The sequence below is a fragment of the Homo sapiens genome, chromosome 20 (genome assembly GCF_000001405.40).
Source record: "Homo sapiens chromosome 20, GRCh38.p14 Primary Assembly".
Taxonomy (NCBI): Eukaryota; Metazoa; Chordata; class Mammalia; order Primates; family Hominidae; genus Homo; species Homo sapiens.
The window spans coordinates 62,266,054-62,287,735 of NC_000020.11; the positions used below are offsets into that span (position 1 = coordinate 62,266,054).

Sequence of the window (21,682 nt, forward strand, 5' to 3'; positions counted from 1 at the left end):
TGAGGCTGCAGTGAACTGTGATTTCACCACTGTGCTCCAGCCTAGATGACAGAGGGAAACCTTGTCTCTTAAAAAAAAATAAATAAAGATTCTAGGACCAAAAGCATCTTTTCAACAACATGAAGTGATGTATATTGCATTCCCTAGGTGAGGGTTGTGGAGAGATTGAGGTGAAAGTTTCATGTGAGCACGTAGGACTGGCAAGCATAGTAGAAAGGCGCTGGGAGGGGCCTTGTGGGGCAGCTCCACCCCTTACACTTCACTTTGAAACACTCCCCTTTGGAGGCTTTGGTGGCACTCCACTCTTTTTACTACTTCTCAGCTTGTATTGAAAAAACACAAGCACACTTGGCAACGTGGACAGTCCCAACATAGACAGACTCAGACAGTGGTGAGCTCATGTCCCCATAGCTGGATCTGCAGTGATTGGCTGTGGCTCGTTCTGGATCCGCAGTGATTGGCTGTGGCTCGTTCTGGATCTGCAGTGATTGGCTGTGGCTCGTTCTGGATCCGAGGTGATTGGCTGTGGCTCGTTCTGGATCCGCAGTGATTGGCTGTGGCTCATTCTGGATCTGCAGTGACGGGCTGTGGCTCTTTCTGTTTGGTCCACACCCCCCACTTCTCTCCTCCCTCGTATTTTGAAGCAAATTCCAGACATCTTTTGTTTGTAAATATTTCTTATGTATATTTAAAGGGTAAGGATTCTTTTTTAATGTGACTGTGATATTATTATTATACTTTAGAAAATAACTTTAGAAAGTCATTTAATATCATCAGATACTCAATCTATGTTCAAATGTCCAGTGGTCTCACGTGTTGCCCTCTGGTGTTTGCAGTCCTGTGTCTGGACCTTGTTTGTGTCCCTCTGTCAGGAAGCCTTTTTGTTGCTCTTTCTCTGAATTTAAAAGCTGTGGGCAGGCCAGGCGTGCGACGGCTCACGCCTATAATCACTGTCAGAGGCTGAGGCGAGAGGATCGCTCGAGGCTACGGGTTCAGAACCAGCCCGGGCAACAAAGTGAGATCCCATCTCTACAAAAAAGAATTAGCCGGGCATGGTGGCGCATGCCTGGGCTCCCAGCTACTCGGGTGGCTGATGTAGGAGGATCACTTGAGCCTGGGAGGTTGAGGCTGCAGTGACTGGTGATCACATTACTACACTCCAGCCTGGGTGACAGAGTGAGACCCTGTCTCTAACAAACAAACAAAGCTGTGGGCGCTCAGAGTCTGGGTCCACTAACTCACTGGGAGTTGCTAGTTGGAGCTGTGCCAACATGATCACCCTTTATTGATTGCCGGGGATAGTTCTGGATGTCTTCCAGTCCACAAATTGTTCCATCTTTGGTCAGTGAGAGTCTCTTCAAGGTGGCCCGGAGTCCTTTACAAAAGGAGCTTCAGGCCTATCCTGTGCGTTTACTGTTTGGGGTCTGGCATCATCTACTTGTCCAGGGAGAGAAGGAGAATTCAGGACCACAGCCGGGCTCTCAGGAGGCCACCGGGGTAGTCTTATTTCGAGGTCTGTTCCTACAGCTAGGAACTGTGTTTTTGTTTGTTTCAGTGATGCTTCAAATTTGGGCCAACAGGCTCCACCTAACCTCTGCGGCCTCATGTCTGCGTCTCTTTTCTCCCTCACTGACAGTCCCAGTTTTCTGCAGCCCTGGCGAGGACAGATTTAGACCGGCACGCAGTTGTGACTCACTCACTTTGCCCCACATACCTGTGGGACCAGCTCTGCTGCCGACAGTGTCTTTGCTGAGACAGCACATGTCTGTGCCTCCTGCAGTTGCCACTTGTCATTGTCTTCAGGGTATATCTCAAATGTCTGCATTATTTTTTATTTATTTATTTTTTTGAGGGAGTCTCGCTCTGTCGCCCAGGCTAGAGTGCAGTGGCGCGATCTCAGCTCACTGCAACCTCTGCCTCCTGGGTTCAAGCAATTCTCCTGCCTCAGCCTCCTGAGTAGCTGGGACTACAGGCGCCTGCCACCGTGCCCGGCTAATTTTTTTTTTTTTTTTTTTTTGTATTTTTAGTAGATACGGGGTTTCACCTTATTGGCCAGGCTGGTCTCAAACTCCTGACCTTGTGATCCGCCCACCTCGGCCTCCCAAAGTGTTGGGATTACAAGCGTGAGCCACCGCGCCCGGCCAAATGACTGCATTTTAAAACCACCTGGGTGCTTCTTCGCTGGGTGATTGTGCCACCAAAGGAATGACATAGGTTCATTTGTTTCATTTTTGATATTGAGAGATGACTTTTTAAAATTTAATTTTCTTTTTAAATTATGGGTCCTGCATCAAATTTATCAAGCAAGGTATATTCCAGGAGAGTCAGCTTCCTGTCCCTGTCCCCTCCTGGTGCTCTCTGCTTTCCCCACAGGTGACCAGGAGCCAAGTTTAGGGCATGTCTTTCATGCGTCACACAGCTGATTCTACATGTATCTTCTCCCCACTTCTCCCCACTTCTTTACATAAATGAGAGGCTTTCTCCACCTTTTAAAATTCAATAGTATATCCATAGCAACATGCAGTGACTTCTTAATCTATTTATTTATTTATTATTTCTTTTTAGAGACTGAGTCTTGCTGTGTCGCCCAGTCTGGAGTGCAGTGGCAGGATCATGGCTCATTGTAACCTCAAACTCCTGGGCTTAAGTGAACCTCCCACATGAGCCTCTGGAGTAGCTGGGACTACAGGAACCCACCACCATGCCCAGCTACTTTTAAAAAATTTTTTGGCAGTGGCTCACGCCTGTAATCCCAGCACTTTAGGAGTCTGAGGCAGGCGGATCACGAAGTCAGGAGTTCGAGACCAGTCTGGTCAACATAGTGAAACCCTGTCTCTACTAAAAATACAAAAAATTAGCCGGGTGTGGCAGTGCATGCCTGTAATCCCAGCTACTTGGGAGGCTGAGGCAGGCGAATCGCTTGAACCCAGGAGGCGGAGAGGTTGCACTGAGCCGAGATCACACCATTGCACTGCTGCCTAGGCGACAGTGTGAGACTCCAACTCAAAAAAAAAAAAAATGTTTTTTTGTAGAGACGGGGTCTCACTTTGTTGCCCAGGCTGGTCTTAAACTCCTGGCCTTAAGTGATCCTCCCCGCCTTGGCCCTGCAAAGTGTTGGAATTACAGGCGTGAGCCATCTCGCCTGGCCGACTTCTGAATCTTTTAATGGCGCGGCGCTCCCTCACATGGCTGCCACCTAGCTTATTGGACTGGCGCCCTGTTGTTGGACATACGGGTCATTTCTGATCTTTCATGGATCCAGCCGTGCGGCAGCAAAGAGCCCTGCATGTGTGTTTGGCCGAGGCTCTGTGGGATAGGTTCCTAGAAGTGGGGCTGCTGGGTCAGGGGCAAATACCCGTAGAGTTTGCTAGAAGCAGCCCAGTCCCCTCGTGGGGCTGCATCACTGTGCATTTCCACAGCAGCCGGGGGGCTTTCCCTGGGTGGGAGTTGCACACAGTTGCGATACCATCTCTCCTCTCCTGAGCAAGGCAGCGTCTCCCCCATGCTCAGGGCTGCCACCGGCCGCACTTCCCGGCCTCCCTGGTCCCAATCTCTGGCCGCTGTGGACTGTGGCCTCTTCTAGTTTACCAGGCGTTTAGAGCACGGGAGGCTGTTGATCCTGGTCTGGAATGTAAATTGCAAATGCTCCCCCATCTGTCTGCTTTTCTGCTCATTCTTTCGGGGCTTCCTTCTTTCTCTGCCACGTGTTCTTGCAGTGCCGAGCTCTGATCACAAGGGTCACCTCTCTTCCTGCTTTCCTCGGCAGCCACATTCCCTTGTGCAGTCTTGGCCACACCCATGTGCCGGGGCTGCCTCAGTTGGAATCCAGTTCTAGCCCCTCCTAAGCCCACAGTCCCCGTGTGTCCAGTGCCATCTGGGGCCTGCTCGCCCCTGCAGCAGCCTGAGCCGCAGGCTCTGTGCGTCTGCCCTGTGCTCTCAGCCTCGGTCCCTGCACTCGTCCTTGACCCAGTGTCTGAGCAGAGCCCCCCTCCCAGCACGGACGCTGAGTTTTGGGAACCTCGCGGCCCAGGCAGAGCGCGTCCTTGTGGTGCTGTGCACACCCCGCCCACCCTCCGTCCACCCTGCGCATGCAGTGCCTGTGGTGTCCTGAGGCCTTGGTGGGGCCGTCCTAGTCCCTGGTGCAGACGAGGAGCCTGAGAGGCTTAGCAGCTCATGTGTGTGTCAGCTGGGAACCCACAGCAAGTGGATTCCAAAGCCTGCCATGTCCCTGTTGCCACTAGCACCTCCTCCTCCACTCCCTCCTGGCCTCTCTGGGTCCTCTCCTTGTCCCTCCTGGCCTCTCTGGGTCCTCTCCTTGTCCCTCCCTGACCTCTCTGGGTCCTCTCCTTGTCCCTCTCTGGCCTCTCTGGGTCCTCTCCTTGTCCCTCTCTGGCCTCTCTGGGTCCTCTCCTTGTCCCTCTCTGGGTCCTCTCCTTGTCCCTCTCTGGCCTCTCTGGGTCCTCTCCTTGTCCCTCTCTGGGTCCTCTCCTTGTCCCTCCTGGCCTCTCTGGGTCCTCTCCTTGTCCCTCTCTGGGTCCTCTCCTTGTCCCTCTCTGGCCTCTCTGGGTCCTCTCTGACCTCTCTGGGTCCTCTCCTTGTCCCTCTCTGGGTCCTCTCCTTGTCCCTCTCTGGGTCCTCTCCTTGTCCCTCTCTGGCCTCTCTGGGTCCTCTCCTTGTCCCTCTCTGGCCTCTCTGGGTCCTCTCCTTGTCCCTCTCTGGGTCCTCTCCTTGTCCCTCTCTGGCCTCTCTGGGTCCTCTCCTTGTCCCTCTCTGGCCTCTCTGGGTCCTCTCCTTGTCCCTCTCTGGGTCCTCTCCTTGTCCCTCTCTGGCCTCTCTGGGTCCTCTCCTTGTCCCTCTCTGGCCTCTCTGGGTCCTCTCCTTGTCCCTCTCTGGGTCCTCTCCTTGTCCCTCTCTGGCCTCTCTGGGTCCTCTCCTTGTCCCTCTCTGGCCTCTCTGGGTCCTTTCCTTGTCCCTTTCTGGTCTCTCTGGTCCTCTCCTTCTCTCCTTGTCCCTCTCCCTCTGCCTCTGCTTTGCCCACCCCAGACCCTGCTCCTTCCTGAAGAGCCTGCCCTGAGGTGACAGCTGTGTTTCCCTGGAATGCCTACTGCCCTTGGGATCCCTTTCCTGGAAGCCCGGTGGGAAGAGTGGCCCCTGTGGGCACTCGTCCCCTTGGCACCTTCCCAGCTTCCCCCACTAAGCCATGCGCCCTGCCGTCCAGGGCCTGGGAGCAGACACCTGAGACTCCTTTGCCAACTCGGAAGGCCTTAGGGGAAAGCCACATGGAGCCATGTTATGGGAGGCCTCATTTGCCAGGTTCAGGTGTGTCCGAGGCATCCTGGAGGGACGGGAAGCCAGGGACTATTTTTAACGGCGTGGGTGGCTCTGCCTGGGACCACTACTCTGTTTTTTTGTTTTTGAGACGGAGTCTGGCTCTGTCTCCCAGGCTGGAGGGCAATAGCATAATATCGGCTCACCGCAACCTTCACCTCCTGGGTTCAAGCGATTCTCCTGCCTCAGCCTCCCGAGTAGCTGGGATTACAGGTGTGCGCCACCATGCACAGCTAATTTTTGAATTTTTAGTATAGACAGGGTTTCGCTGTGTTGGCCAGACTGGTCTTGAACTCCTGACCTCAAGGGATCCACCCGCCTCGGCCTCCCAGGGTGCTTGGATTTTAGGTGTGAGCCACCGTGCCCAGCCTGGGACCACTACTCTGGAAGTGGGGTGGAGAAGATGTGGAGTAGGGGAGGGGGCGCAGGTGGGCCCAAGAGCCCTTGTGGCAGTCTCTGTGTCTGGAATGGGGCGGTGGGCTGGGGAGGCAGAGAGGATTCAGGGGTGTCATGCCAGAGACCTCTGCAGGCTCAGCACAGATTGTGTGTCAGGTCTGATGGCAGCTGAGGCTCACAGGGCAGGGCCGATGGGGCAGGGAGTGGCTCACCCATGGGGGGTTTGAAGATCCGGTTCAACCCCAGAGGCTGCGGCTCCATGAAGGGATGCTCAGAGCAGGGGCATCGGGCAGCCCAGCGGTGTCAGGAAGGCAGCAGTAACCAGCGAGTCTTCCCCATCTTTCCAGGAGCTGTCCAAGATCACGATGCCAATCGCCTTCAACGAGCCTCTGAGCTTCTTGCAGCGGATCACGGAGTACATGGAGCACGTGTACCTCATCCACAGGGCCTCCTGCCAGCCCCAGCCCCTGGAGAGGATGCAGGTGGGCCTTAGGGGTGCCAGGCAGGAGTTTGTCATGAAAGTGATGCCCCTTGCATGTCTGGCCACACAGTCTTGGGGCCCCAGGCATCTGTGAGGACTCGCACAGCTCCCCCCAGTGTTCAGTGCCATCCTGCCTGGCGGTCGTGGCATTTGTCCTGTCACCACAGGTGTGTGATGACAGAACTTGCCGGAAATGCCATTGAGCTCTCAGTGGCCCCAAGAGCTCCCTGCTGCCGCCTCCTGCCGGGAGACTCCGCCTCTTGGAGCTGAAGGTGGCGGTGGGCTCTGCCCTTGGGCTTCTCTTGGGTCCTGTTGCACCACCGCACCCCATGTGTGTGCATGTGTGTGACTGTGGGCTGGGCACGCACGGTGGCTCATGCCTGTAATCCCAACACTTCGGGAGGCTGAGGTGGATGAATTGCTCCTGGAGGTTGAGACCAGCTGAGGCAACACAGTGAGACCGCATCTCTACAAAAATTTTTTAAAACTTAGCCAGGTGCAGTGTTGCATGCCTGCAATGCCAGCTACTTGGGAGGCTGATGAGAGAGGATCGCTTGTGCCCAGGAGCTAGAGGCTACAGTGAGCCACGATTACGCCACTGCACTCCAGCCTGGGTGACAGAGTGAGACCCTGTGTCTAAAAAATAACAAAATACAAGTGTGTGACTGTGGGTGCACATAACGTGTGCACGTGTGTGCGCATGCCTCTGTGAATGAGTGCTTGGGGTGTGTGTGTTGAGTGTGTGGCCTTGTGTGTGCATATCAGACGGAGTGGCTGACATTGCTGCAGCATCTGCCAGAAGGGCCTGGCTCCGGGGGTGGAAGGCAGCACCCAGTTCCTTCTTTCTGTGCTGTCGGGGGAGTGGCGGGTGATGAAGGGCATTCCCTGGAAGTCCTATAATCTCAGACACACTGCTCGGGGAAAACTGAAAACGCACACGGAACAAATAGTGACAGAAACCAGGTGCCCACCGCCCTCCACAAGAGGCCATCTTCTCCAGCGCGTTTCCTAACTGAAGCTGTGCCTGTCCCCCCCGTGGATTATTTACAGTCTGTGGCTGCTTTTGCTGTTTCGGCTGTGGCTTCCCAGTGGGAGAGGACCGGCAAACCATTTAATCCACTCTTGGGAGAAACGTATGAATTAATCAGGTAAGGGGGGAAAGGCCCATCATAAATATCTTGTAAATGGAATTCCTTGGATGACAGATAAGTTTGATTCTTTCACTAGCATTGATTCCTCTGCTCTGAGAATAAACTGTTTGAATTAAGAGCTCACGAAAGCGTTTGGATGCTGTAGGCGAGATGTTTCACACACACGGGGTGTTGTGCTAGCGTGCCACGGCGTCTGAGTGAGTGTAAAGCGCTGGCAATGAGATATTTTAGTGTGTTCGACTCAAGCGTGGAGATAGCGCGCACTGTAGACGCTTCCGTGTGTGTGTGCGACGTCTGTGAAATGTGTAGGATTGTTGTGAGCTTCACCGAAAATGGAAATAGGTACTAATGAGCAAAACTAGGCTGTTTCACTAAAGCATTTAGTGAACGCTATTGAAAAAGCAGGTAAATCCAAACACAGGAATGATTGCAAAGAGGAGCTTCACTCCCAAGGCCACGTTTGCCACCACAGCCTCCCCAGAGTTTTAGGAAGGGTCAGACGGCTCTGGCCAAGGGAGAGTTAACCAGACCACGCCTCATCTCCAGACATCCCTGAAACTTCTTCCTATGGAACTTTCTTCTAGGCAGCGTTGCCATCCCTTCCTAGAGTCTCCCCAGCTTCCCTCCTGTCTCTGGTGGCCCTCACCTCACAGACGTGAGACTGACTCCAAGTCCTAGAACTCTGACCCCAGAGGTCCAGCCGGGCCCCAGATCCGTTGTTTGTGGCTGGGCCTCTGGAAGGACTGGTTGGGGTTCTCTTCACCCACCTGGTTGCCCTGGGGACTGCTGTGGTTATTCACAGAATCATCCTGGGATTCTGCCCAGGTGACAGTGCCCACCCACACCAACAAATGAAGTCAAAAGCAGGCCAGACCATGGCATGTATGTGGCAGTGTGGTAATTCCTCAGCCATTGAGCAGCCTGGCTGGGGCTCCGGGGAGCTGTGGATGAGAGGGATGTGGGTGGCTTCCTTCAGGGCCGTTTGGTGATGTCTAAAATGATTTTTATTCCACTGCCCGTGGACCCCGTCATTCTCTTGTAGATGCATGCAGGTGCCCATGGGCAGATGTGTAGGGAGAGTCAGCAGAGCACAGTTCAGCTGCTGTCTCTGTGACAGGGCTAAGCTGTGGTTCTGAAGGAGGGAGGGGCAGGGCACTCTCGCTGCACCCTTCAGTCTTCCGACTGTCGAGGTAGCCCAGCACACAGAGCTCACTCTGGGAAGAAGGAGCTTGCTGGTGGGACACCCTTCACTCTTCTGACTGTCAGTGGAGCCCAGCACACAGAGCTCGCTCCGCCTGCCTGGGGAGAAGGAGCTGGAGGGGCGTGGGTGGTTATCTAGACAAGTCTGCTGTGCAGAATGCAAGCTGTTTGCCACAGGCTGCTGGGCTGCACGCCTCCCTGCCCAGGAACAGAGTGCAGACGGGAGGGAAGGCGGGCTCCTTTATCATCTTGTTTTATTATTTTTCTGTGAAAAAGGGAGTTGAGCCAAAACAATTAGCCTCTTATTTGGATTCTGGGTTAGTTGAGATTCTGTTGGGTTATTTTATTATGAAGTCTGTTTGTTTTTTTAATTACGAGAGAGTGCTCTTTATAGAAAATGTGTAACATTGAGAAAGGTAGAAAAGATGAATCAGGCATAATCCCATACAAGACAATAGCTGGCTGGGCTCACGCCTGGAATACCTGCAACTCAGGAGGCGAGGCAGGAGCATCACTTGAGCCCAGGAGTTCAGTTACAGTGACCGTGCCACTGAACTCTAACCTGGACTACAGAGCCAGACCGTGTCTCTTTAAAAAAAATGAGAGGAACTGTCAGCATTTTGTTAGACTTTCTTTTGTGTGTGTTTCAAAATATGATAATTTAATTTGTATCCCTTTTTAACATGTCATAATTTTCCTGTGACATTAAAAACTTTTTCTAAATTAGAGTGTTTCATCGATTCTAAGACGCCTTGTTCACGTGGCAGCACTTCTACATGTCAGTTTCTTGTTCCTTTTTTTTTTTTTGAGACGAGGTCTCACTCTGTCGCCCAGGCTGAAGTTCAGTGACATGATCACGGCTCACTGTAGCCTCGACCTCCTGCCTTAACCTCCTGGATATGATCACAGCTCACTGTAGCCTCGACCTCCTGGGCTCAAGTTATCTTCCCACCTCAGCCTCCCAAGTAGCTGGAACTACAGGCGTGCGCCACCATGCCCAGCTAATTTTTGTATTTTCAGTAGAGACAGGGTTTTGCTGTGTTGCCCAGGCTGCTCTTGAACTCCTGAGCTCAAGTGATCTGCCTCCCTCAGCCTCCCAAAGTGCTAGGATTACAGGTGTGAGCCTCTGTGCCCAGTCCAAGTCATAGTTTCATTTGCAGCATTTTTTTCTTTCTTTCATAAAATAATGGTGTGCAGTGCAATGAATGGCATCTTGGGTTCCAAGAAGTGCAGTTCCTTTGAAACTTAAGGCCGCTGTTTTGGGGCCCTTTATTGTATTTTATGTGTTATTAATGATTGAGAATTTTTTTTTTTTTTTGAGACGGAATCTCCATTGGTTGCCCAGGCTGGAGGGCAGTGGCATGATCTCCACTCGCTGCAACCTCCGCCTGCTGGTTCAAGCAATTCTCCTGATTCTCCGCCTCAGCTTCCTGAGTAGTTGGGATTACAGGTGCACGCCACCAGGCCCGGCTAATTTTCGTGTTTTCAGTAGAGACAGGGTTTCACCTTGTTGGCCAGGCTGGTGTCGAACTCCCAACCTCAGGTGATCTGCCCACCTTGGCCTCCCAAAGTGCTGGGATTACAGGCGTGAGCCACCACGCCTGGCCATGATTGAGATTTTTATCAATAGTGAGCAAATGGTTGTGGGATTTGGTTTGCTTCAGATGGACTCTTTTCCAGTGTGTAAAGAGTTTAAAAGTGCGTGCCCATGTTTGTCCTAGAAGGTGTGTCAGCACTGCCTGTCAGACCATTTTGGGAGGATGCGTTGTTAGTAGTACAAGCTTTCCTGCACTTCTGTATATAAATCACTATGCAGTTTGGAGAAGCAACATAAATGTCACAGCTTCAAATTCTAATCTGTTCCTGGCTCATCCTGGCTGGGTCAGCTGCTGGTCCTTACCCACATGCTGCCCGTGCGTGAATGCCAACTTTGTGTTTTTTGTCTGATTTAGAAGTTGGCTGGCACTGGGCAGCCGAGCACCTGTTCTCAAGATGTCATTGCCTTTGAGCAAGTAGGACTAGTTTGGACAGAGTGTGGCGTGGTGACAGCAGGGTCCAGCAGGCAACTGTCGGTCTTGGCACAAGCTGCAGGGAGCAGCCCTGCTTCTGCTTCTGGGAAAGGGGAGGCTGAGGCCTGGACAAGGGAAAGACTGGCCACGAGAACCACTTGTGAGGGAGTCTTCTGTTCTGAATTCATGTAGAGTGTGCTTCCTTTTCTAGATATTTCTCTTGAGCAGTATTCCTGTTGCTGCCTGCCAGCCTTCTCGTCCTCTGGTCAGCGTGCTGTGCCACTGTCAGAGGCATTGACGGGATTGGCTCTTAAAAAATTATTAAAATGTCTTGAAAAAGATAAATCAGGCCGGGCGTGGTGGCTCACGCCTGTAATCCCAGCACTTTGAGAGGTTGAGGTAGGCAGATTGCCTGAGGTCAGGAGTTCGAGACTAGCCTGGCCGACATGGTGAAACCTCGTTTCTGCTAAAAAATACAAAAAATTAGCCGGGCGTGGTGGCGGGTGCCTGTAATCCCAGCTACTCGGGAGGCTGAGGCTGGAGAATCACTTGAACCTGGAGGCGGAGGTTGCAGTGAGCCGAGATCACGCCACTGCACTCCAGCCTGGGCGACAGAGATTTTGAGATTCCATCTCAAAAAAAGAAAAAGAAAAAGATAAATCAGAAGAGGAAAGAAGTTCTAGATGATAGAGAAGAAGCCTTGTGGGTGAAAGGAATGCAAGCCGCCTGGGCTGGGTAGAGCGGGGCGTGCCGCCAGCACCCTTCCCCAGGGGCTGCACCCGGGGCCGGAGCTCCTGCTGCACAGCCAGAAGCAAGCTATGCACCTTCGCAACGCCGAGACACGTCGTCTGTCATGAGTTCACTTCCAGATCGTCCTTGCCAGTGTCTGCCATGTGCTGTGTGTCTGTGAGACCCTGGCAGTCTGTCAGGTTAGGGGCCATGGACGTGGACCAAGTCCTTTCCTGATACCCTGGATCCCTACAGATCCCTTGTTATAGCTAAAAATACACATTCTTTTCTCAGACAAGTATTCATTTTGTAAATTACATACCTTGGTAGTCAACCTTTTAAAATCTAATTTTTCAACTTTCTTTCTTCTGTAATGATTGGAAATTCTGATTCCAGTTAAGTTGGTAATTATGTGGTTTAGCTTTTCTAATTTTTAATGACTACAACTGTAGGTGTATTCACAGTTCCGGAACAATTAAAAGCTGACATTTTGATTGAAAAAGAGAGTACACTAAAAATCCTGTTCCTGGACAGGAGTATTTTGGGGTATAAGCCATTCCATCTCGGAAATTTCAGGGGCCTTGTAGAAAGACAAGGAAGGGGCACCCCCTTCAGAAAGGGTTTAGGGTCCTGAGTTCCTGGGCAATGGGAGTCCCTCGGGGTTGAGGGTTTGGAGTCAGAGGTGTGTAAGGATTGCTTCTCCACCTGCGTCTCTGGGTACCTCTAGCCAGACACTGCTGTGGCTCAGGTGGAGAGCAAGCGGGGCATCAGGGTGGAGGCCTCTCCTGCACCATTGCGCTCTCTGGGTGGGTCAGATGTGCTCTGGAAGCCATGTGTGTGTGTGTCTGTTGCCAGCGTTAGGCCAAGTGCGATGTCATGTTTGTGTGTGTGTCTGTTGCCAACGTTAGGCCGAGTGCGATGTCATGTTTGTGTGTGTGTCTGTTGCCAGCGTTAGGCCAAGTGCGATGTCGTGTTTGTGTGTGTGTCTGTTGCCAACATTAGGCCAAGTGCGATGTCGTGTTTGTGTGTATGTCTGTTGCCAACATTAGGCCAAGTGCGATGTCATGTTTGTGTGTGTGTTGCCAACGTTAGGCCAAGTGTGATGTCATGTTTGTGTGTGTGTCTGTTGCCAACATTAGGCCAAGTGCGATGTCATGTTTATGTGTGTGTTGCCAACGTTAGGCCGAGTGCGATGTCATGTTTGTGTGTGTGTCTGTTGCCAACGTTAGGCCGAGTGCGATGTCATGTTTGTGTGTGTGTCTGTTGCCAATGTTAGGCCAAGTGCGATGTCATGTTTGTGTGTGTGTTGCCAACGTTAGGCCAAGTGCAATGTCATGTTTGTGTGTGTGTGTCTGTTGCCAACATTAGGCCAAGTGCGATGTCATGTTTGTGTGTGTGTTGCCAACGTTAGGCCGAGTGCGATGTCATGTTTGTGTGTGTGTTGCCAACGTTAGGCCGAGTGCGATATCGTGTTTGTGTGTGTGTCTGTTGCCGTTAGGCCGAGTGCGATGTCATGTTTGTGTGTGTGTTTGTTGCCAACGTTAGGCCAAGTGCAATGTCATGTTTGTGTGTGTGTGTCTGTTGCCAACGTTAGGCCAAGTGCGATGTCATGTTTGTGTGTGTGTCTGTTGCCAACGTTAGGCCAAGTGCAATGTCGGAGAGGTGGTGTTGGGTGTTTCCGCCACATGTTGTGGCATGGAGGGCCCCTGCTTCCCAGCGTCCTGTGAGGGGCTCCACATGATGTCTGAGCTGCCCTTTCTTTTATTTTGCTGCCATTAATGTGTCTCTCTTTTTTATTCTTTGACCTAGGGAAGATTTAGGATTCAGATTTATATCGGAACAGGTCAGTCACCACCCCCCCATCAGTGCGTTCCACTCGGAAGGTCTCAACCATGACTTCCTGTTCCATGGCTCCATCTACCCCAAGCTCAAGTTCTGGGGCAAAAGCGTGGAGGCGGAGCCCCGAGGCACCATCACCCTGGAGCTGCTCAAGTGAGTGTCGGTGCGTCCTGCTGAGATCCGCTTCCTGCAGAAACTGAAATGGGTGCTGGTGATGTGGAGGGAAAGCTTCCTTCAGGAGGAAACCCTGTCATTTTTCTCCTGAGGTGGGGACCTCCCCACAGCAGAAACGTCTTCAGATGAGCTTCCTGACCAGGGTCCCGTGTTGCTGGGGTGCGTCCTCACGTCTGCAGTTGGAATTCGCCCCCCTTTCGGTCACATCATTCATTGTATGACCAGGGTCCCATGTTGCTGGGGTGCATCCTCACGTCTGCAGTTGGAACTCACCCCGCTTTCCGGCATCATTCATTGTATTTCTTGTCTTTTGCTGCATAACTGTCCCAAACTTAGCAGCTTCCACACCAGGCTGGCAGGTGTCTGAGGGCCGGGGACCGTGAGGTTGCGGTGGCAATGAGGGTTGGGTTGCCCATGGCGCCTGTGTCCTGGCTCCCCTTCTGGGCTGCTTGCTGCAGGGCACTGCCTCCCACAGGGGGAGAGAGCTGAGAAGGAAGCCAGGGAAGTGGCCCTTTGCACACTCCCCCACCCTGTGCTCATGTGGCAGGGGTGACTTAGGGTTGGAATTTGAAACAGCGTGGGAGGGGACCCTCTGAGAGGCTGCTTGCCACCCCTCTTCACTCTCAGCCTAAATGCTCCCCAATCCAGTGTCAACCAAAGACACCTCAGAGCAAAACACAAGTCTCCAACAAATGCCGGCCGCTAAGACCCGACAGACACAGACCGGATGCTGGCGTCCTCCTGGGCCACCAGTTCTGAGACGTGAGTCTTGCCAAGCCACTGCCTGCAGTCTTGTTGTAGGCAGCAGGTCCTAACAAATACATACAGAAATAAGTAATAAACGACACCTTGCCTGATGAAGCATTTGATTTGGGTTTTGCTTCACATTGGCCCTGCCTGGATGGTGGCTAGAAGGTTCCACAAGGACCTGGAGAAGCCCCTGAGAGTGTGTCCTGGGGCTGGTATGGCCGAGTGCCTGTTGTGCAGTGGCCTTGCTTAATTAAGAGGCATGCAGAAATGAGAAGTTGCACACCTTGCTGATAAAGTTGCACACCTTGCTGATAACCTTGCTGATGAACCAGTTTGGGTTCCACCCCCAGGAAATTGAGAGAATTCCAGACGTGTGGCAAAATACCCTGCTCTGAGCAGATTTCTGCCTTCACTGTGGCTCCCCCACGTAGCACCTTAGAACATAGGGCTGCTGATCTGCTGCCTCACATTGGTGGGGTGTTTTCTTCTTGGGCAGGGCCATTTGGGAGGATGAGGAGTAAAGGAAACAAGTATGTGGAGTGCGGTTGAAAACCCTGCACCCCTCCACAGCCATGTGCCAGCTCCCCAGAAAGCCAGGGCCGCATGCCCAGGACCCTGCATTACTGCCGTGTGTGTTTCGTGAGGTGGCCTTTCTTTTGACGACTTCACAGGAAAGCCATTTGTCTTTGTTCAGTCTTCTTTGATTGCTTATTAACTTGTCTTGACATTTAAGTAGAAAGCTTTGTAGATGCTACAAAGGAAAGAAGAAGTACATTTCAAACGCATGCTAAATACACAGCCTCCGTCGCAGGGGCTTCAAAGCAGCGTGCTGCTCTCCCGCGGGTGCCGGTTGCTGTGACCCAGCCCCGCCTGGTCGTTGCGTCTTGGGTCACGTCGTGTCTTGGCTTTTCTGGACTCTCACTGCTTGTTTTCTGGTGTCTTCACAGACATAATGAAGCCTACACCTGGACCAACCCCACCTGCTGCGTCCACAACGTCATCATCGGGAAGCTGTGGATAGAGCAGTATGGGACAGTGGAGATTTTAAACCACAGGTGACAGCACCCCACCGTTGGGTGAGAGCGCGAGGCTCCGGGTGGGGATGGGCGAGCCGGGGAGCGTGAGCATCCGTGCTCCTGGTGGGTTTTAGCTCAGCCTCACGAGCTGCTGCCGTGTCCCCGCCAGCCCAGGCATAGCAGCTGCCTAGACTTGACTCTGACCGGTGTTGGCCATGAATGCTCCTCGTTCAAGACCTCGTTTTTCGTCACGGTTGTTACTTTAAGGCTTTGAGCTATGCTGAAGAGCTGTGTCATTGCCAGGTGCAGCGCAGTGGCCGTCCACGGCCGTTGGCCACTGTCTAGGCTTGAATGCCCTATTCCTGGAAGCTCATGACTGGTGGGCTTTGCCTTTTCACCACTTTAGTGAGGTATAATCGATGCATCATAAGACTCGCCCATTCTGAATGGACACTTAAGTGATTTTTAGTAAATTGACCGAATCATGGAGCCGTCCCCACAGCCCATTTCAAACACTTCCATCGCCCCAAAGGCCCACCACACCCATTTGCAGTCACCCCCCGCCTGCCCCAGGGGCCTCCACCGCGCTTCTCCTGTTACAGAGTTACCCTTTCCGGCTGTTTGCTGTCTTGCAGCAGAAACCTGTGTTTGTTTTTCTCACAGAACTGGACATAAGTGTGTGCTTCACTTTAAACCGTGTGGATTATTTGGAAAAGAACTTCACAAGGTGGAAGGACACATTCAAGACAAAAAGTAGGTCCTTGCCAAGTGTTCATGGGGCACCACTACAGCCTGTGTGTCCACGTTAGAAGGGCTCAGGTGCTCCTGGGCCTGCGTGTGCCTACGTGCATGAGACGCGGGTACACCAGTGCCATCTGTTCATGGTCCAGAAGTATGACTCTTTTTTGTTTTGGAAAGACATTTTGTTATTGAGCATAAAAGGAAATAAAGGGTATTTTTGAATGTAGTTTCTAGGTGGCTTGTTACTGGGGCCATCTTCTTTTGATAAAATTGTCTTGAGAAGTCAGCTATTTCCACTGGGAGATGAGAGGGGACTGTTTCGCAGCAGAGCTGAGGTGGGTGGGAAGTGTGGCCTTGCGTTTTCCTTCTACCAGCACCCCATGCACGTTGTCAGGCAAGACTCAAATGTGTTAGCTTGAGGGGCGTCAGTGTCACGTGACCAGTTCACTCCAGTCTTTAAATCAGGGACTTTCGCAAGTTTTTGTGAGCAGAGAAATGGTCAGTACTGTTCCAACAAATTTTTCAGTTTTTTTCTCCCCATTTGGGTTAATTACTTTGTAATCTGGGTCTCACATTTGTTTTTTTCGTAAGGAATTTGAGCCATAGAATGTCATGAAGTTCCTTCTAGTTCCAAAAATGTAGACATTTCCCATTAGAAACTAGTCCCCAATTTAAAACAGTCAGGGCCAGGTGCAGTGGCTCATGCCTGTAATCCCATCACTTCTGAGGTGGGCAGATCACCTGAGGTCAGGAGTTCGAGACCAGCCTGGCCAACATGGTAAAACCCCGTCTCTACTAAAAATACGAAAATTAGCCAGGTGTGATGGCGCACATCTGTAATCCCAGCTACTCAGGAGGCTGAGGCACAAGAATCTCTTGAGCCTGGGAGATGGAGGTTGCAGTGAGCCAAGATCACGCCAATGCGCTCCAGCCGGGGCAGCCAAGCAAGAGGCTGTCTCAAAAAAATAAGACAGTTGGTGTTTCTGCTCTGTCCACCCTCTATGGTAGACCAGAAATGCACCCGTTTGAACAGCCTATAAAATAAAATGGCCAGGCTTATGACTGACCATTTCTCCCATAAAACATGTGAGGATCAACATGTGGACCTAGAAGGGACAGCAGTCTTACAACAGGGTAGCAGTCATCAGTGCCTTGACACCTCTCCCCCTTGGAACTCAGCCCAGGGAGCAGCTGGCTGTCTGTTTCCAGAAATAGGCGGGGGCGCCGAGGCCAACACTCGCTGACCCTCAGTGAGTGCATGTAAAACATGTTTTTCCAGAACCGGGCAGGGACCCCGAGGCCAGACTCGCTGACCTTCAGTGAGTGCATGTAAAGTGTGTTTTGGTTGTCTGGTTTTCCATCCTAAATTTAAGGGTGCTCTGTCCTTGGAGACAGAGTTGTCCCCAGGCTGTCTACTAGGTGAGGCCTGGCCCAGTTCCCCGCGTCTGTGTGCTGGCTCTGCAGGCACTGCAGTGACACCGTCCCCTCCTGGGTCCCGAGTCTGTCAGAGTTGCACTTCCCGGGAGTCTGTGGTCACGGTTGACTCTTCCCAGCAAGAGGCGAAAGGAGAAAGAAAATGGAGTCTGGCACTATTTGGCTTCATCCCTTTTAGAATCGAGAGCTCTGGTGGCCACTCTGCAAAGGTCTCTGGGTTGTTATTGATGAAAAAAGGCAGGCGGGGAACCAAAGATCAAGCAAGCAGCATTGACTGCACTGATTGATAGAAAAGGGCTGAAGGACACACACACAACACATTGAGTGTGTTGAAAATGATCAGTGGGCGCATGCAGCTTTACATTTTAAAACGCTCACTCTTTTTTGCCCCTTCCCGTCTCCTGCAGCCCCCTGGACCAACCATCCTTTGGGTTTCCATCCCTTCCCGTCTCCTGCAGTCCCATGGGCCATCTCTCTTTTGGGTTTCTGTCCCTTCCCATCTCCTGCAGCCCGGTGGGCTGTCCATCCTTTAGGTTTCCGGCCCTTCATTTTCCTTTCCGTGGTGTGTATCGGGGCTACGAATGGTCCCAGAATGCAAATTTTCACCTTCGCATTTATGTCCAGAGATGTCCCAAGATGCATAAGAAAACATACCTGAGGGGAATTTATTCCAGGGTGCCACATGTTTAGACAAATGGTTTGTAATGACTAAGACTTGTCTTTAAAAATCCCATTTAATTACAGCAAAAAGAAGCTCTTTATGATCTATGGCAAATGGACGGAATGTTTGTGGGGCATAGATCCTGTTTCGTATGAATCCTTCAAGAAGCAGGAGAGGAGAGGTGACCACCTGAGAAAGGCCAAGCTGGTAAGGGCTGGGGCGTCCCCGGGCAGAGCTGAGCCCTGGGTGCTGAGGGCTGCCAGGCCGCTGCTGCCTTTAGCTCACCTGTTGGGGTCCCAGGGAACCTTTGGGCCCCACCAGGAGAGATGAATGTGCAGAATTTGTCTGTCCAGATGAACCATATATTGTGGGTTCCAGTATCAGTGAGGGGGTTTATCTGTATTTCTTTCCATTTTTTTTTTTTTTCCCCTCCAGGCAGGGTCTCCCTCTGTTGCCCAGGCTGGAGTACAGTGGTGCAGTCATAACTCACTGCAACCTCCAGCTACCAGGCTCAAGCAATCCTCCCTCCTTAGCCTCCCAAGTGGCTAGGACTATAGGCATGTACCACCATGCCTGACTAATTTTTATTTTTTTTAGAGATGGGGTCTTGCTATGTTGCCCAGGCTGGTCTTGAACTCCTGGGCTTAAGCAGTCCTCCCACCTCGGCCTCCCAAAGTGCTGGGATTACTAATAGGCATGAACCACAACACCCAGCCGGCATATCTGTATTTTGGTTGCACGGAGGCTGCTGCTATAAACCGTGGGCACCAGTGCCCACGAGTCATACATAATTGCTGGCCCCCATGGCTGGAAGTATCTGAGGGAACCTCAGGCAAGGCCGTTTCTTTTCTGGAAGCTCCAAGTTCTGGGTCCTTCTTAATAAATCTTCTCGCTTTCTTTGAGTTAGCCTAGACATATTGTTAAAAATCAAGTGAATTTCAATTTTTTGTTTTTAGTTGTGAGTACCAGATAATATATTCAACAGCCAGAAAGTACTGGCAAGGCTTTTCCCCTTAAAGCTTTGGAATACTCATTATCTTAAGACTAGTTGTTCTTGAACTTAAAAATAAAAGGGATAGTTCAAAAGAGGTGTCCTATTTTCTACATAATGAATTGGAATGTACCAAACCTGAAATGTTCAATATTTATTTAACGGAAACATTCAGCCTCCTCCGGATCCCAAGTGTTTTTTATGTTGTTGTATTCATTTGTGCTGTTAGACACCTTTTCTAATCACCCTCTTTTATTTAAAAAGGAAAATTCTGCTTACACACTAGACAGACCTAGAAGGGTAAATCCATTTAGCGATGTCTTTTGATGCTTTCCTGCTCCTTGAGGTGACCTAGAAACGGGAGTTTTCTGTGAATCCTTGTCCTTGAGCTGCGGCTCTCCCTCGCCCCAGCCTCGGGCCATGGTGCCTACAGCCAGTGTGAATACAGCTAGTGCAGGAAGCCCTGGGCTTTGACTCGCTTGTTTTCAGTGGTCTCCCTGAAGAGCTGCTTCTGGAATCATTCCCTTTTCTAGGACCCATTTATTTTGAGAAGCAATGTGGCAGGTTTTGTCTTTTCATCAGGGTGTAGAGAGCCTGAAACCCCCACACAGGAGCCACTTCTTGATGGGGGCAAAGCTGCGCTATCTAGAAAGCTCTCAGTCCCAGAACCTGCCTTCTGGAGAGGCGCCATGTGTGTGAATGAACCTGCTGTTTGGAAGGCACCGCTGTGTCGTCGCACTCAGACTCCATGAAGCCACCGCTGTGTCGTCGCACTCAGACTCCATGAAGTGCTGTTTCGCGTGCACCGCTTCTCCCGAAGGGAAACACGCCTGGCCACTGACTTCCTTCATCTCCACGAAGGGAAACGCCTGGCCACTGACTTCCTTCGTCTCTGCGAAGGGAAACGCCTGGCCACTGACCTCCTGTCGTCACCCGAAGGGAAACACGCCTGGCCGCTGACCTTCTGTCATCTCCGTGAAGGGAAACACGCCTGGCCACTGACCTCTGTCGTCTCTGTGAAGGGAAACACGCCTGGCCACTGACCTCTGTCGTCTCCACTCTGGGTGTCCGTTAGAACAGACAGCACAGCCCTACGAAGGGAGTGTGAGCTGCTTTAGGGACTGGGGCCCAGCTCCTCTCCGTACAGTGATGGACAGACAGTGTCATAGACTGGAGAGGAAATTCTATTTTCTCCTTAGTTTAAGAAAAAAAAGGCCGGGTGTGGTGGCTTACGCCTGTAATCTCAGCACTTTTGGAGGCCGAGGTGGGTGGATTGCCTGAGGTCAGGATTTCAAGACCAGCCTGGCTAACATAGTGAAACCCCGTCTCTACTAAAAGTACAAACAATTAGCCGGGCATGGTTTTGGGCACCTGTATTTCCAGCTACTCGGGAGGCTGAGGCAGGAGAATCTCTTGAACTCAGGAGGCAGAGGTTGCAGTGACCCGAGATCGCACCATTGCACTCCAGCCTGGGCAACAGAGCGAGACTCCGTCTGAAAAAAAAAAAAAGGAGAAGGCTGCCTGGCTCTGCTCAGGTGACTGGTCTGAAAGGCGCTCTGAGAATAGCTGTCCTCCTGGCCAAGAGCGGCCTGGCCCCGGGCAGCCACACAGCAGGGTTCTGTGTTTCAGGATGAAGACTCCGGGAAGGCTGACAGCGACGTGGCTGACGACGTGCCTGTGGCCCAGGAGACCGTGCAGGTCATTCCTGGCAGCAAGCTGCTCTGGAGGATCAACACCCGGCCCCCCAACTCTGCCCAGGTCTGTGTCCCTCCATGGCCTGACGTCTCTGCCTGCTCATGTCACACCCACCTCTGGGCCCAGCCCCACGGCTCTTCCCTGTCCTTGGGCCCTTGCCTGCCGCCTCGCCTCAGCCTGTTGTCCCAGAGCAGACAGGGGCCTCCGCCATTGTCGGAGTGGCTTCTGTTGTCCCTGGAGCTGCGTCCCGGCCCTGTGCTTGTCTGCCTTGGGGCCTGCTGTTGGGGCTGGGCACCGCTGCTCCATAGGACATGCAGGTCGAGGTGTGGACGCATGCTCAGCTGCGTGTCAGAGCTGCCCGCCGGGCACACATGCTTGTGCTTCCCCTGGGAACATCAGACAGACGTGGCCATTGCCGGCCAAGTGCGTCTTATCAAAAGAGGCTTCCAAGCCTGTTTGGGGAGATTGCTTTCTCACTTGTCAATTTAGATGCTCAAATGCCTTGTGATATTTATTTTTGAAAATTGCACTTATAATTTTTATTAAATATATGATAAACTACATGTTTTATGACAAATAAAATATGTGATATATGGTTATATGATAAATATCACACGTAATATCTTAGTATTTTTTATAAATTCTTATTTGTATATAAAATTTATGCAACTTATGCAATTTTGTACGTCCCATAAACAGAGCAGAACATGCGTAAAATACAGAAAAGGAAGCAAAACCTTCACTTTAAGCACGTTATCTCAACAGTCACTGTTATCATTTGAGTAGAGTACGAACTGGTTTAACAATGCTATTTTCTTTTTTAATAGAGGCAGAGTCTCGCTCTGTCACCCAGGCTGCAGTGCAGTGGTGTGATCTTGGCTCACTGCAGGCTCCAATTTCTGGGCTCAAGTGATCCTCCTACCTCAGCCTCCCTAGTAGCGAGGACCACAGGCGTGTGCCACCATGCCAGACTAATTTTCTATTTTTTGTAGAGAGGAGGTCTTGCTATGTTGCCCAGGCTGGTCTCGAACTCCTGGCCTCAAGCATTATCTTCCTGCCTTGGCCTCCTGAGTTGCTGGGACCACAG

The 21,682-nt window shown here is 51.8% G+C and overlaps 1 protein-coding gene across 4 annotated transcripts in view, besides 1 other annotated feature; it reads left to right on the forward strand.

The window, feature by feature from the left end:
• OSBPL2 (oxysterol binding protein like 2) overlaps nucleotides 1–21,682 on the forward strand; it is a 57,663-nt gene that overhangs the window by 27,533 nt on the left and 8,448 nt on the right. For all 4 annotated transcript variants that reach the window (NM_001363878.2, NM_144498.4, NM_014835.5 and 1 more), the window contains 7 exons: nucleotides 6,072–6,206; nucleotides 7,256–7,353; nucleotides 13,104–13,286; nucleotides 15,005–15,112; nucleotides 15,737–15,826; nucleotides 17,993–18,116; nucleotides 20,530–20,658. In NM_001363878.2, coding sequence (NP_001350807.1) covers nucleotides 6,090–6,206; nucleotides 7,256–7,353; nucleotides 13,104–13,286; nucleotides 15,005–15,112; nucleotides 15,737–15,826; nucleotides 17,993–18,116; nucleotides 20,530–20,658 — 849 coding nt within the window. In that variant the 5' untranslated portion in view covers nucleotides 6,072–6,089. The remainder of the gene's footprint in view (nucleotides 1–6,071; nucleotides 6,207–7,255; nucleotides 7,354–13,103; nucleotides 13,287–15,004; nucleotides 15,113–15,736; nucleotides 15,827–17,992; nucleotides 18,117–20,529; nucleotides 20,659–21,682) is intronic.
• Nucleotides 12,880–13,380: an enhancer, noted in NCBI's record as "H3K4me1 hESC enhancer chr20:60853989-60854489 (GRCh37/hg19 assembly coordinates)". NCBI's record gives its function as "activates a minimal SCP1, AML or CMV promoter by ChIP-STARR-seq in naive H9 embryonic stem cells {active_cell/tissue: H9 hESC(naive)}" and the evidence as "EXISTENCE:reporter gene assay evidence [ECO:0000049][PMID:30033119]".